General features: G+C 40.8%; 1 pseudogene; it reads right to left on the reverse strand.

Moving 5' to 3' along the window:
* On the reverse strand, nucleotides 1432-14507 carry GSTA12P (glutathione S-transferase alpha 12, pseudogene; annotated as a pseudogene).

Genomic DNA, 15573 nt, shown 5'->3' on the forward strand with positions numbered 1-15573 from the left:
GCCACCGTTTTCTTACTGGGTTGCCAAATAAAATATAGGACATCCATGTAAATGTGAATTTCAGGCAAACAATCAACAATTTTTTAGTTATAGCTATGTTCCAAACACGGTATGAAACCAGATTATACTGAAATATTATTTATCGTTTACCTGAAATTCACATTTAGGTGGGTATCCTGCATTTTATCTGACAAATCCGGGAACCCTATTTGCATATGCTATCCTCTTTGCGTCACTCAAATTGCCCATAATATAACAAATATGAAAGTATCCATCACCTGGATTCATCAATTGCAAATATTCTTTCTTCATCTACACCATGTAGGGGGTTATGTTGGACCCCAAGAAAGACAGGTCCATATATAAATCCCTAGATCCTGTGAACTTGATCTTATTTGGAAAAAGGCTCTTTGCAGATGTAATGAAGTAAAAGAATTTGAGATGAGATCATCTTGGTATATCTGGATAGGCCCCAAATCCAATGACAATTGTCCTCACAGCAGAGAGAAGAGAAGACACAACACACAGGGGGTGAGGTGCAGGAAGACAGAGGCAGAAATTAGAGTGATGTGGTCATGATCCATGAAAGTCCAGAAAGGCCAAGAGCCCCCCGAAACTAGAAGACGCAGGGAAGGATTCCTGGAAATCACTTCTAATCCAAACACGCTGGCACAATGACACACCAGGGAAAAATAATTTTAAATATAGTTACTTATACGTAATTCACATATACCATCTGTATCTTCGCAGCCAGGCCTGAGTGGCACTGAACGAACTGAGGGAAGGCTTATGCCCGGGTCCCCACAGAGCCTTAAGGAGGAGAGTGAGGATGAGCCAGGAGCACATGCACTGTAAGGGATGACAAGTTGGCCTGAGAGCAGAGGGTGGGTCTGTTTGCTCTTCAATATTTCCTCACCTCCTAGAAAACTGAGGGATCCATAGCAGACAGAAAGGTTGTTTGAAAATGCATAAGAAAAAGTGTTTTCATGAGAAATAAAATGGATGTCAAGGAAAAAAGAAAATTTCATTTTGCCATTCCCCAGAATGATAACTGTTTTCTTGTGCAGAATGTCAGAAGTAAATTTCTATACATGAGTTTTTGATAGGCAATTTCACAAATGTTGCAGGACAATTCTTGAAAAAGTCAAACAAACCACATAGTCTACATTGTACTTTTTACTAAATTTTTAATTCCAAGAAAATTTATGGGCAGTTCGGAAATCTGATTTCATATCAGATACTAATGAAAAGAAATCAATTTTAACTAAATCTGGTCATAGGCATTTTACTATGTAATTAGCATACAATTTTTAAAAAGTTTATTAACTTCACAATAGCCACAACCAACATTTAGATAAAGCAATTTATTGTTGCAAAACTTTAGAATATTGGTATTGCATGTTCTTGGCATCCATGCCTGCTTTATCAAACCTTGAAAATCTTTGTTGCTTCTTGTAAACCTTTTGCATCTATGGGAAGCTTCCTCAGGCTGCCAGGCTGCAAAAACTTCTTCACTGTGGGGAGTTTGCTGATTCTGATTTTCAGGGCCCGCAATGCACAAAGCACAGCCTCAGAGTGAAGCCAAGGACTGACACCACCATTAACACAACCCAGGGAATCTGCGCCCCTCCTACACAAAGACCAACTAAGTTCCCTCTATCAGCACCAGTAGGGAGGCAGAAAGAGACACTACGTGAGAAATGAAGATAAGAGGAAGAACATGCAGCTCACTAGCATTTTCCCAAAAAATGTCTTTAAGACTTTATTCAGTTCAGTCTTCCTACCCTCTTCCTTACACATGAATCTTGTAGATTCATGGCTCTTGTAGAAGATGAGAAAGAACAATGTGCCTGTGAGATATCAGCACAGATCAGTCTCTAAGCAGAAGAAGTGAAGATATGGGAAAATTGAGTTAGAAATGAAAATAGAAAATGTTAAAGTCAAACCATGGGGCCACTTTTTCCCATAGAGAGATATAGCTTTCGGGGACAGCGTGTTGGGAGAGCTGTGCACAAGGAACTCAGTTATCTGACAGCAGGAGCCAGAGCATAAGGAAGGAACCAGATGGAAAGGGCCCTGCTCAGACACACTTGGTGTGGGAAGATAAGGGCATATTGGGATAAAGGGCATCACAGAGAACTCAGGAACAGAAACCACAGTGAAATAAAGGGATGAGGAGAGATGCTGGGCCCTGGGTCCTTGGCATTATAAAAAGCGAAATATTCTTGGGGTAGCATGCACATCAGATTTCCTTGGCATAACAAGAAGGCATTTCCATGCCTCAGAATCAGGACTTGGAAGCTCATTTTGGAGACCTGGGGGGCCCTGAAGACCTGGAGAAGGCTGAGGTCAGAATGTGGCCAGTCCAAGGGCCCAGATACTAGATCCCAAGATGGGAGATGAGGAGCTGCCTCTTGAGGACTGGGAAATGGGTCACCTTTAGCACAGGGAAGTTGGAGATGAGGCTGGAGTCAGGCTCTTCCACGTGGTAGAGAAGTTTGACCAGGTGAATGTCAGCCTGGCTCAGCTTGTTGCCAATGAAGTAGTCTTGTTCATGGCTCTTCAACACCTGGAGAATCAGAGGAATCAGATCAGGAACACATGTGCAATGAGGCTGGGGCCTCTGCTTCTCCCTGAGTTTGTCCAGGCTGACTCTCCCTCTCCCACCTCTGCTTCCTTACTGGGCAGGTGCAGAGATCCAGACCTTTCTCCATGTTACCTGATTCAGTGAGAGAGTAAGAAGTGTGGCTCTGCTCACTCCTTGTTTGGAGCCCAGGCTCCCATTTTCTCTTCTCATTCCACATCACTATGGCATCCACAGCACCCACCCAGCTTGCAACTTCCACATGGGCCAGGGGCTTATCCCCTGCTGCAGCCTGTTCTGTCTGCCCCAGGCCCTACAGTGTGCATCCCTGATGTTCAATGGCTCTACACACTCTCTCTCCAGTCTCTCTTGGGCAGCGACTCCACCTTCATGACAGCACTCTTCTCCCACGAGTAGACTATTTCAGAATCCTCATTTCTCCTCATCTGCCCTCCTCATTTCCTGCTCTGGGATCTGAAATAAGCCTGGGTGAACTTTAATTCATCCTCTTTCTTGCAATGGTGGTTCTTACTGCTTTGACTATGTTATAATCTGCATGCCACTGTGTCCCAGGGTGAACTGCAAAGATGTCTGCAACTTACTTTGAAATGCACAATAATAATAATAATAATAATAATAATAATAATAATAATGTGTTTGAGTGAGGCAAACAGGGGTGGAGTGACTGACACGTGATAAATCAAAGATAAAAGGTTAACTTTGCTCTTTAGATCCTTGGTGTATATATGTTCATAAAACATTTCTTTGGACTACACTAGGTGTATTCATTTTTAATAATACAATTTTTGACTGATATATGATATTTATTAAAATATCTCAGCACATTGACATCATAAATAATAAAAAGAGAAAACATGGCAACATTGATTTAAGATAATATTTTGGCAAATACATTTTCACACTATGTATACATACAAACGTATAGATAATGACTTGGTACACAAACAAAACAACTTCAATGCTATATTGTAATATACATTGTTCAAATGCACATATCACAGGCTATTTGGTAGAACTCGTAGTATTCTTATTCACAGTCTATTTTTATACCATGCCTTGAGAGTCAGGTGCTCCATTAACATCAAGGAAAGCTTTTTGGAAGTGAAGGTCAATGCCCCAAAAATACACAGGTACTATTTTATTTTTCTGTTGCCTTGTGTTATGGACTGAATGTTTATGTTTCCCAAAAATTCATATGTTGAGATCCTGACCCCCAAATCTTTAGAAAAGATCCCTAAAAAATATATTCTTTCAAGCCATTAGTAGGTGGGGGTTTCAGGAGATGATCAAGTCATGGGGGTGGAGCTCTTATGAATGACATTAGTTCCCTTATAAAAGGGATCTTAGAGAACTCCCTTGGCATGTTTGCCATGTGAGGACATAGCCAGAGATTGGCTGTCTATGAACCAAGGAACAGGTGCTCCCCAGATGTAAAATCTGCTGGCACATTGATCTTGTACTTCCCAGCCTACAGAGCTGTGAGATAGAAACATCTGTTCTTTAAGCTACCCAGTCTATGGTATTTTGTTATTGCAGCCAAACTGCTAAGAAATCCTCTAACCTCTTAGTGCCCTTATAGACTAAACAGCTTCTATCATGACCCTTACAACAGTCAAATACACCAGCATTGGTCAATAACTGCCAGCTTCCCTAATTTTTGCCTCTATTTTCAATTTATGACCAACCACAGAAAGCAAAATATGGATCTCTGACTAATCCCATAGAAATCCACACTTCTAGTTAGCCAGCTTACAGCATCCCTAGGCCAGCAACCTGCAATCAGGACATAACTTTTTCTACCATGAATCTCTCAGACTTTCCTGCCTACCTCTGAATCTCTGACAAATGCAAGTGATGGTGGCTGACTTCCTTTCTATAGCAAGCTCTGTATAAACACCTTTTGCTTATTCTCATTTGGATTGTCTTCACTTCCACAGTTTTTCTGGAGGTTTCAACAAGACATGGTCTATGTTGCCCATTGCCATGGACCCCAGCCGTCAACCAGGTTCAGTATTCACAAATGCTCCTTATCCCTTGTGGTAAGCCCACACCTGGGCTGAACTCTTTTCTCTTTGCACTGAGCTCTTTGACTTTATTCTCAGGTTGGTCCTTGGTTTTGGTATTGGTTCTCATCTGCTTAGCATCCTTTGTAGAATCAGGATTTTCTTTTCATTTCTTTTGTAGTCTTTTGTGTTACTGTTTTTTGTCATGTGATCTAAAGGTGTTGTTTGTCATAAAAGAAGCAGCATAAGAGCAGAGGCCCAGGAGCCTGTTTTTCAAGATAGCCTCACAGTACATTAAGTTCGAGGTTCTCATTGGACCCCTTTCCATTTGTACAAACTTTGCTGTGGGTCATCCTTAAAACCAAATGAAGTTCTTCTCTCTTGATTTTTGGTTCTTGTTCTGCAAACTTGGCAGTGATCCAGACAGAAACATCACAGTTTCCACTTGAGGCAGAGTATTGACTGTGACTTTAGATTTACTTTATCCTTGTTAAGTGGTAATCCATATATCAGACTGAATAATTCTCTATTGTAGTTTTGAAGCTCAAATCACGTAGCCACTAAGAAGCTGAAGAAATGCCTAGGGCGAGATCTGGGGAAGGCCTGGACAGGCCACCCTCCAAGAAGCTCCATGTGTTTAGTTATCCAGAAGCTCCCAGGTACGGTTTCAAAGACAGGGAAATAATGGCTTGTTGTTCCCTCTTTGATCAGGGCAAGCTTTGCATCTTTTTCCTCAGGTGGATGCAATGAGCAATGAAGAAGCTTTTCACTCAAACCTGCCCTACCTTCTATATACATATCGACCCTGTAAGACAAAAATAACCAAACTGCTGAGTGCCTTCTGCCTTAGATTTTATGTTTAAACACTTGAGACCGTGAAGCTTTAGGTGACAGGAAATTAATTCAGCTCCACTGCGTGCCTTTTATATGCTAGTCATTAGGCTATGATTTTTATAAATATATTTACATTTATTTCTCAGAACACTCTACTGTGATAGATTTATATCTAAAATGTTTGTTTTACACATGACCAAATACAGGTACAAGAAACATCGGTGACCTGTCCAGTGTCACAGTCATGAGAGAAATTAGTGGAATCACTGCAAGTAACCACTGATGCTACAAATAGGGTTTGCTCACTCTGCTGTGGTTTGTTTTACACATAAGCTTAGCGTGATTCATATGGCTAAAGCCCTGCCATTTACATAATCCCAAGACAGCCTCCCCAGCACAGTGATCTCGAACGTGTCTGTTTTCCTCTCTCATCATACTACAAATCCCAGGCTCACTTTTATGCCCAATATTAGAAGTTCTTAAAAAAGAAAAAATTAAAATAAATAAAGGAAAAACTAGGAAATAAGGTATGTTTTTAAAAGATATCCCTAAAAATATATTTTTTCAAGCAAGCTACTAATTTTCAAAAAAAAAAAGGAGTTCTCTCAATTGTTTTCCACAAAACATTGTTCCATTACCTTCTCCACATGATATTGGCCAATTCTAGTCATGATTGTGTTTCAAGACCTCACCTAATATTCCCATAGTAACATGGGAAAATTGTTTACATGGGAAAATTGGTAAACATGGTAAAATTATTCATATAGTTAAAGCCAGTGCATAGCATAGGACATCTTCTTTCTTCTCATTTCAAACTGTGTTTCCTACAAAACTTTTGTTTGTTTGTTTGTTTTGAGACAGTCTCTTTCTGTCATCAGGCCAGAGTGCAGTGGTGTGATCTCGTCTCACTGCAACCTCCGCCTCCCAGATTCAAGCGATTCTCCTGCCTCAGCCTCCCGAGTAGCTGGGATTACAGACACCTGCCACTACGCCCGGCTAATTTTTGTATTTTGAGTAGAGATGGGGTTTCGCCATGTTGGCCAGGCTGGTCTTGAACTCCCAACCTCAGGTGATCTGTCTACTTTGGCCTCCCAATGTGCTGGGTTTACAGGCGTGAGCCACCGTACCTGGCGAATACTTTTAAAATAACAGCTGTATTGACAAGTATTCACATACCATAATTGCCACCCCTTTATAGAATATTATTCAGTAATTTGTAGTACATTTACAGAATTCTGCAAATACTATCTCCGTCTAATTCCAGAACATTTTTATCATCTGGGAAAGCAGTAGCACGTGCTTTGACAGCCATTTCCCATTGCCCCCTTTCTCCATCCCCTGTCAACAACTGATTTGCTTTCTGGACTCAAATGGTCTGGATGGTTCATACAAAAGAATTCATGTCACATGTGGCCTTTGGTGTCTGGTTTCTTTTACAGCACATGTTTTCAAGGCTCACCAATGTTGGAGCATGCATCAGTACTTCATCCCTTTTTTTTAAATTTTATTATTATTATACTTTGAGATTTAGGGTACATGTGCACAATGTGCAGGTTTGTTACATATGTATACATGTGCCATGTTGATGTGCTGCACCCACAACCTCGTCATTTAGCATTAGGTATATCTCCTAATGCTATCCCTCCCCCCTCCCCCCACCCCACAACAGGCCCCGGTGTGTGATGTTCCCCTTCCTGTGTCCATGCGTTCTCATTGTTCAATTCCCACCTATGAGTGAGAACATGCAGTGTTTGGTTTTTTGTCCTTGCGATAGTTTGCTGAGAATGATGGTTTCCAGCTTCATCCATGTTCCTAGAAAGGAAATGAACTCATCATTTTTTATGGCTGCATAGTATTCCATGGTGTATATGTGCCACATTTTCTTTTTTTTTTTCCTTTTTTTTTACTTCAAGAAATATTTTATTTATGAACTTTTTTTTCTTTTTTTTAATTATACTTTAAGTTTTAGGGTACATGTGCACATTGTGCAGGTTAGTTACATATGTATACATGTGCCATGCTGGTGCACTGCACCCACTAACTCGTCATCTAGCATTAGGTATATCTCCCAATGCTATCCCTTCCCCCTCCCCCCACCCCACCACAGTCCCCAGAGTGTGATATTCCCCTTCCTGTGTCCATGTGATCTCATTGTTCAATTCCCACCTATGAGTGAGAATATGCGGTGTTTGGTTTTTTGTTCTTGTGATAGTTTACTGAAAATGATGATTTCCAATTTCATCCATGTCCCTACAAAGGACATGAATTCATCATTTTTTATGGCTGCATAGTATTCCATGGTGTATATGTGCCACATTTTCTTAATCCAGTCTATCATTGTTGGACATTTGGGTTGGTTCCAAGTCTTTGCTATTGTGAATAATGCCGCAATAAACATACGTGTGCATGTGTCTTTATAGCAGCATGATTTATAGTCCTTTGGGTATATACCCAGTAATGGGATGGCTGGGTCAAATGGTATTTCTAGGTCTAGATCCCTGAGGAATCTCCACACTGAATTCCACAACGGTTGAACTAGTTTACAGTCCCACCAACAGTGTAAAAGTGTTCCTATTTCTCCACATCCCCTCCAGCACCTGTTGTTTCCTGACTTTTTAATGATTGCCATTCTAACTGGTGTGAAATGGTATGTCATTGTGGTTTTGATTTGCATTTCTCTGATGGCCAGTGATGATGAGCATTTTTTCATGTGTTTTTTGGCTGCATAAATGTCTTCTTTTGAGAAGTGTCTGTTCATATCCTTCACCCACTTTTTGATGCAATTGTTTGTTTTTTTCTTGTAAATTTGTTTGAGTTCATTGTAGATTCTGGATATTAGCCCTTTGTCAGATGAGTAGGTTGCAAAAATTTTCTCCCATTCTGTAGGTTGCTTGTTCACTCTGATGGCAGTTTCTTTTGCTGTGCAGAAGCTCTTTAGTTTAATTAGATCCCATTTGTCAATTTTGGCTTTTGTTGCCATTGCTTTTGGTGTTTTAGACATGAAGTCCTTGCCCATGCCTATGTCCTGAATGGTATTGCCTAGGTTTTCTTCTAGGGTTTTTGTGGTTTTAGGTCTAACATGTAAGTCTTTAATCCATCTTGAATTAATTTTTGTATAAGGTGTAAGGAAGGGATCCAGTTTCAGCTTTCTACATATGGCTAGTCAGTTTTCCCAGCACCATTTATTAAATAGGGAATCCTTTCCCCATTTCTTGTTTTTGTCAGGTTTGTCAAAGATCAGATAGTTGTAGATATGCAGCATTATTTCTGACGGCTCTGTTCTATTCCATTGGTCTATATCTCTGTTTTGGTACCAGTACCATGCTGTTTTGGTTACTGCAGCCTTGTAGTATACTTTGAAGTCAGGTAGCGTGATGCCTTCAGTTTTGTTCTTTTGGTTTAGATTTGACTTGGCAATGTGGGCTCTTTTTTGGTGCCATAGGAACTTTAAAGTAGTTTTTTCCAATTCTGTGAAGAAAGGCATTGGTAGCTTGATGGGGATGGCATTGAATCTATAAATTACGTTGGGCAGTATGGCCATTTTCACAATATTGATTCTTCCTGCCCATGAGCACGGAATGTTCTTCCATTTGCTTGTATCCTCTTTTATTTCCTTGAGCGGTGGTTTGTAGTTCTCCTTGAAGAGGTCCTTCACATCCCTTGTAAGTTGGATTCCTAGGTATTTTATTCTCTTTGAAGTAATTGTGAATGGGAGTTCACTCATGATTTGGCTCTCTGTTTGTCTGTTATTGATTTATAAGAATGCTTGTGATTTTTGCACATTGATTTTGTATCCTGAGACTGCTGAAGTTGCTTATCAGCTTAAGGAGATTTTGGGCTGAGACGACGGGGTTTTCTAGGTATACAATCATGTCATCTGCAAACAGGGACAATTTGACTTCCTCTTTTCCTAATTGAATGCCCTTTATTTCTTTCTCCTGCCTGATTGCCCTGGCCAGAACTTCCAACACTATGTTGAATAGTAGTGGTAAGAGAGGGCATCCCTGTCTTGTGCCAGTTTTCAAAGGGAATGCTTCCAGTTTTTGTCCATTCAGTATGATATTGGCTGTGGGTTTTGTCATAGATAGCTCTTATTATTTTGAGATATGCCCATCAATACCTAATTTATTGAGAGTTTTTAGCATGAAGCATTGTTGAATTTTGTCAAAGGCCTTTTCTGCATCTATTGAGATAATCATGTGGTTTTTGTCTTTGGTTCTGTTTATATGCTGGATTATGTTTATTGATTTGTGTATGTTGAACCAGCCTTGCATCCCAGGGATGAAGCCCACTTGTTCATGGTGGATAAGCTTTTTGATGTGCTGCTGGATTTGGTTTGCCAGTATTTTATTGAGGATTTTTGCATCAATATTCATCAAGGATATTAGTCTAAAATTCTCTTTTTTTGTTGTGTCTCTGCCAGGCTTTGGTATCAGGATGATGCTGGCCTCATAAAATGAGTTAGGGAGGATTCCCTCTTTTTCTGTTGATTGGAATAGTTTCAGAAGGATTGGTACCAGCTCCTCCTTGTACCTCTGGTAGAATTCGGCTGTGAATCCATCTGGTGCTGGACTTTTTTTGGTTGGTAAGCTATTAATTATTGCCTCAATTTCAGAGCCTGTTATTGGTCTATTCAGAGATTCAACTTCTTCCTGGTTTAGTCTTGGGAGGGTGTATGTGCCAAGGAATTTATCCATTTCTTCTAGATTTTCCAGTTTATTTGTGTAGAGGTGTTTATAGTATTCTTTGATGGTAGGTTGTATTTCTGTGGGATTGGTGGTGATATCCCCTTTATCATTTTTTATTGCATCTTTTTGATTCTTCTCTCTTTTCTTCTTTATTAGTCTTGCTAGCAGTCTATCAATTTTGTTGATCTTTTCAAAAAACCAGCTCCTGGATTCACTGATTTTTTGAAGGGATTTTTGTGTCTCTATTTCCTTCAGTTCTGCTCTGATCTTAGTTATTTCTTGCCTTCTGCTAGCTTTTGAATGTGTTTGCTCTTGCTTCTCTAGTTCTTTTAATTGTGATGTTAGGGTGTCAATTTTAGATCATTCCTGCTTTCTCTTGTGGGCATTTAGTGCTATAAATTTCCCTCTGCACACTGCTTTGAATGTGTCCCAGAGATTCTGGTATGTTGTGTCTTTGTTCTCGTTGGTTTCAAAGAACATCTTTATTTCTGCCTTCTTTTTGTTATGTACCCAGTAGTCACTCAGGAGCAGGTTGTTCAGTTTCCATGTAGTTGAGTGGTTTTGAGTGAGTTTCTTAATCCTGAGTTCTAGTTTGATTGCACTGTCGTCTGAGAGACAGTTTGTTATAATTTTTATTCTTTTACATTTGCTGAGGAGAGCTTTACTTCCAACTATGTGGTCAATTTTGGAATAGGTGTAGTGTGGTGCTGAAAAGAATTTATATTCTGTTGATTTGGGGTGGAGAGTTCTGTAGATGTCTATTAGGTCCGCTTGGTGCAGAGCTGAGTTCAATTCCTGGATATCCTTGTTAACTTTCTGTCTCATTGATCTGTCTAATGTTGACAGTGGGGTGTTAAAGTCTCCTATTATTATTGTATGGGAGTCTAAGTCTCTTTGTAGGTCACTAAGGACTTGCTTTATGAATCTGGGTGCGCCTGTATTGGGTGCATATATATTTAGGATAGTTAGTTCTTCTTGTTGAATTGATCCCTTTACCATTATGTAATGGCCTTCTTTGTCTCTTTTGATCTTTTTTGGTTTAAAGTCTGTTTTATCAGAGACTAGGATTGCAACCCCTGCCTTTTTTTGTTTCTCATTTGCTTGGTAGATCTTCCTCCATCCCTTTATTTTGAGCTTATGTGTGTCTCTGCACATGAGATGGGTTTCCTGAATACAGCACACTGATGGGTCTTCAGTCTTTATCCAATTTGCCAGTCTGTGTCTTTTAACTGGAGCATTTAGCCCATTTACATTTAAGGTTAATATTTTTATGTGTGGATTTGATCCTGTCATTATGATGTTAGCTGGTTATTTTGCTCGTTAGTTGGTGCAGTTTATTCCTGGCCTTGATGGTCTTCACGATTTGGCATGTTTTTGCAGTGGCTGGTACTGGTTGTTCCTTTCCACATTTAGTGCTTCCTTCAGGAGCTCTTGTATGGCAGGCCTGGTGGTGACAAAATCTCTCAGCACTTCCTTGTCTGTGAAGGATTTTATTTCTCCTTCACTTATGAAGCTTAGTTTGGCTGGATATGAAATTCTGGGTTGAAAATTCTTTTCCTTAAGAATGTTGAATATTGGCCCCCACTCTTTTCTGGCTTGTAGAGTTTCTGCCAAGGCATCAGCAGTTAGTCTGATGGGCTTCCCTTTGTGGGTAACCCGACCTTTCTCTCTGGCTGCCCTTAACATTTTTTCCTTTGTTTCAACTTTGGTGAATCTGACAATTATGCGTCTTGGAGTTGCTCTTCTCGAGGAGTATCTTTGTGGCATTCTCTGTATTTCCTGAATTTGAATGTTGGCCTGCCTTGCTAGATTGGGGAAGTTCTCCTGGATAATATCCTGCAGAGTGTTTTCCAACTTGGTTCCATTCTCTCCGTCACTTTCAGGTACACCAATCAGATGTAGATTTGGTCTTTTCACATAGTCCCATATTTCTGGAAAGCTTTGTTCATTACTTTTTATTCCTTTTTCTCTAAACTTCTCTTCTCACTTCATTTCATTCATTTCATCTTCCATCGCTGATACCCTTGCTTCCAGTTGATTACATTGGCTACTGAGGCTTGTGCATTCGTCATGTATTTCTCGTGCCACAGTTTTCAGCTCCATCAGGTCTTTTAAGGACTTCTCTGCATTGGTTATTCTAGTTAGCCATTCGTCTAATTTTTTTCAAGGTTTTTAACTTCTTTGCCATTGGTTCAAATTTCCTCCTTTAGCTCGGAGTAGTTTGATCTTCTGAAGCCTTCTTCTCTCAACTCATCAAAGTCATTCTCCATCCAGCTTTGTTCTGTTGCGGGTGAGGAGGTGCATTCCTTTGGAGGAGTAGAGGCACTCTGATTTTTAGAGTTTCTGGTTTTTCGGCACTGTTTATTCCCCATCTTTGTGGTTTTATCTACCTTTGGTCTTTGATGATGGTGACATACAGATGGGTTTTTGGTGTGGATGTCCTGTTTGTTAGTTTTCCTTCTAACAGTCAGGACCCTCAGCTGCGGGCTGTTGGAGTTTGCTGGAGGTCCACTCCAGACCCTGTTTGCCTGGGTATCAGCAGCGGTGGCTGCAGAACAGTGGATGTTGGTGAACTGCAAATTCTGCTGCCTGATTGTTCCTCTGGAAGTTTTGTCTCAGAGGAGTACCCGGCTGTGTGAGGTGTCAGACCGCCCCTACTAGGGGGTGCCTCCCAGTTAGGCTCCTCGGGGGTCAGGGACCCACTTGAGGAGGCAGTCTGCCTGTTCTCAGATCTCAAGCTGCATGCTGGGAGAACCACTACTCTCTTTAAAGCTGTCAGACAGGGACATTTAAGTCTGCAGAGGTTACTGCTGCCTTTTGTTTGTCTGTGCCCTGCCCCCAGAGGTGGAGTCTATAGAGGCAGGCAGGCCTCCTTGAGCTGCGGTGGGTTCCACCCTGTTTGAGCTTCTGGGCCGCTTTGTTTACCTACTCAATCCTGGGCAATGGCGGGCGCCCCTCCCCCAGCCTCGCTGCCACCTTGCAGTTTGATCTCAGACTGCTGTGCTAGCAATGAGTGAGGTTCCATGGGTGTAGGACCATCTGAGCCAGGTGTGGGATATAATCTCCTAGTGTGCCATTTGTTAAGCCTGTTGGAAAAGCACAGTATTAAGGTGGGAGTGACCCGATTTTCCAGGTGCCATTTGTCACCCCTTTCTTTGACTAGGAAAGGGAATTCCCTGACCCCTTGCACTTCCTAGGTGAGGCAATGCCTCGCCCTGCTTCAGCTCATGCACGGTGCACTGCACCCACTGTCCTGCACCCACTGTCCCACACTCCCTAGTGAGATGAACCCGGTACCTCAGTTGGAAATGCAGAAATCACCTGTCTTCTGTGCCACTGACTCTGGGAGCTGTAGACTGGAGCTGTTCCTATTCAGCCATCTTGGCTCCACCCCTTCATCCCTTTTCATACCCCAAGAATATTCCATTGTCTCCTACAGCACATCTTGTTCCTCCATTCATCCATGGGTGGACATTTGGGTTGTTTCCACCTTTTGCATATCATGAATAATTCTCCTATGAACACTTCTGTGCATGGATTAGTAAGGATGTGTTTTCCTTTCTCCTGGATGTAGACCTGGTAGTGGAATTGCTAGGTCATTGGTAACTCTATATTGGACTTTTCAAGGAATGGCCATCAAGGGAGGAGACCCCTCCTCCCAGCTTTGCTGATGCAAAATCAGTCTGGCTGCTTAGGTCTGTATCAAATGCTGCACTTAGGTAAGCCTAGTATCTTGGGCACCAGCCTCTCAAACCTTAGTCAAGTTGACCAGTTAATACAACTGGCTGGAAACTTAGGTTCCTGGTCACCATTCTTGGAATTACTGGAACCTGAGATTCAGCTCCTTTGCAGCATTCTCTCCCCAGGCCTTCATCTACCGACTCTCAAACATTCTATGCCTTGTCCTAAGCTGTTGGCTGGAGTCCAGCCTCTGAAGTCCTGAGCACCTGGAATCATGATTCCCCATCCTCCTGAGTTCATGGTTCATCAGCGTTTGGAAACCTCTGTCAGGGTGCTGGATCCATAGGCTGCATTGTCTTCTAGAATCACACTCGCCTGAACCCTCCCCATATTCACTCTTTTCTCATCTCCATGGGACTCTGCAATACTGGACACAAGCATATATGCCCAAGGCCCAGCCTGCTGCTAGTTATGATGCTCCTTCAACAGTCCTGCCCACTCACAGAAGGACCTAAATCACTCTGTGTTCTCTGTTGATTGAAGAACAGAAAATATACTATATGGGGCTCTCTCCTTTATGTCTTTCCCACACAGGTTGTATTTGCTGGCAATGTAGTTGAGAATGGCTCTGGTCTGCACCAGCTTCATCCCGTCAATCTCAACCATTGGCACTTGTTGGAACATGAAACTCTCATCTTTAGAAAATAGAAAAAAAAAAGGCAGAGTGAAATTTCTATGAATCCCACCCTTTCAGGATGAAAAAGTGGTTGTGGAAATGACTAAATGTATAAAATGAAAAAAAAATTGCCTGGCAACTGTTCAAATGAAATAGGAATTTGTTTTTAGCTTCTGGAAGTGCTTTTTTTCATTTATAAATGTTTATTAAATGTCAGTAATTTTTACAAAGCAAATATTTATAGCAAGAGGCAAGTGTTTTGCAAAATATGTACAAAAGTAAAAAGCTGTAATGAACTAGCAATTCATTTTATAAAATCAAACCATTCTCTCCACTTTTAGACCTCCTTTAGAAAAAATTTGTTGTCCATCCTGAACTAAAGCACTGACAAAAAAATTTACAATTATCAGATAATGTGCTTAGTTCCTGGAAAGTTATAAAAAGATATATGTAAAAAAAAAACCCTAAACCACAAGTATTTTATAGAGCTAATACAAATCATGTTTTGTTAAGTACAGTATCTATGGGATTATTACAAAATATACTTTTCTATAAGGCTTCTTGTGGTAAATGTGCTCTCACCAGAGTAGTATAGAAAAGCCATTTCAAATGTTTTGCGATTCTGCCTTCAAGTAAGAGGTAAAAGGTAAATGCCATAGTTTGTTGCGCTGTTGCATATACTTTGCAAGAATTAATCTCTACCCCTTTCTTTCCTAGTACCATCAAATAGGCATGATTAAGTACAAATGTATCACTTACTATGGCAAGAAATATTATAAACAAACCAAATATTATAAAACAAGCCAAAGTCACATACCAAGTAAGTTGTACATGACTTTCAGTGATATTCACCGACTGAAACATTTATGCATAGTGAGTTCCAGCATACTCTGATCCATCTGTAAACTTTCATCAACAGCAGATTTGTATAGGTCACAAAACTCTCCTCATCAAGACATAAAATATTGCCATATCATTCATGCTTTCAAAACAATGATCCATATAAGCTCTTGCATTTGAAACCAGGTATTTAGACCTGAATGCTGCAAGAGTGAACATAACTTAAATGCTAACTATACATTCAAG

Source organism: Homo sapiens, chromosome 6 (assembly GCF_000001405.40).
Source record: "Homo sapiens chromosome 6, GRCh38.p14 Primary Assembly".
NCBI classification, from domain to species: Eukaryota; Metazoa; Chordata; class Mammalia; order Primates; family Hominidae; genus Homo; species Homo sapiens.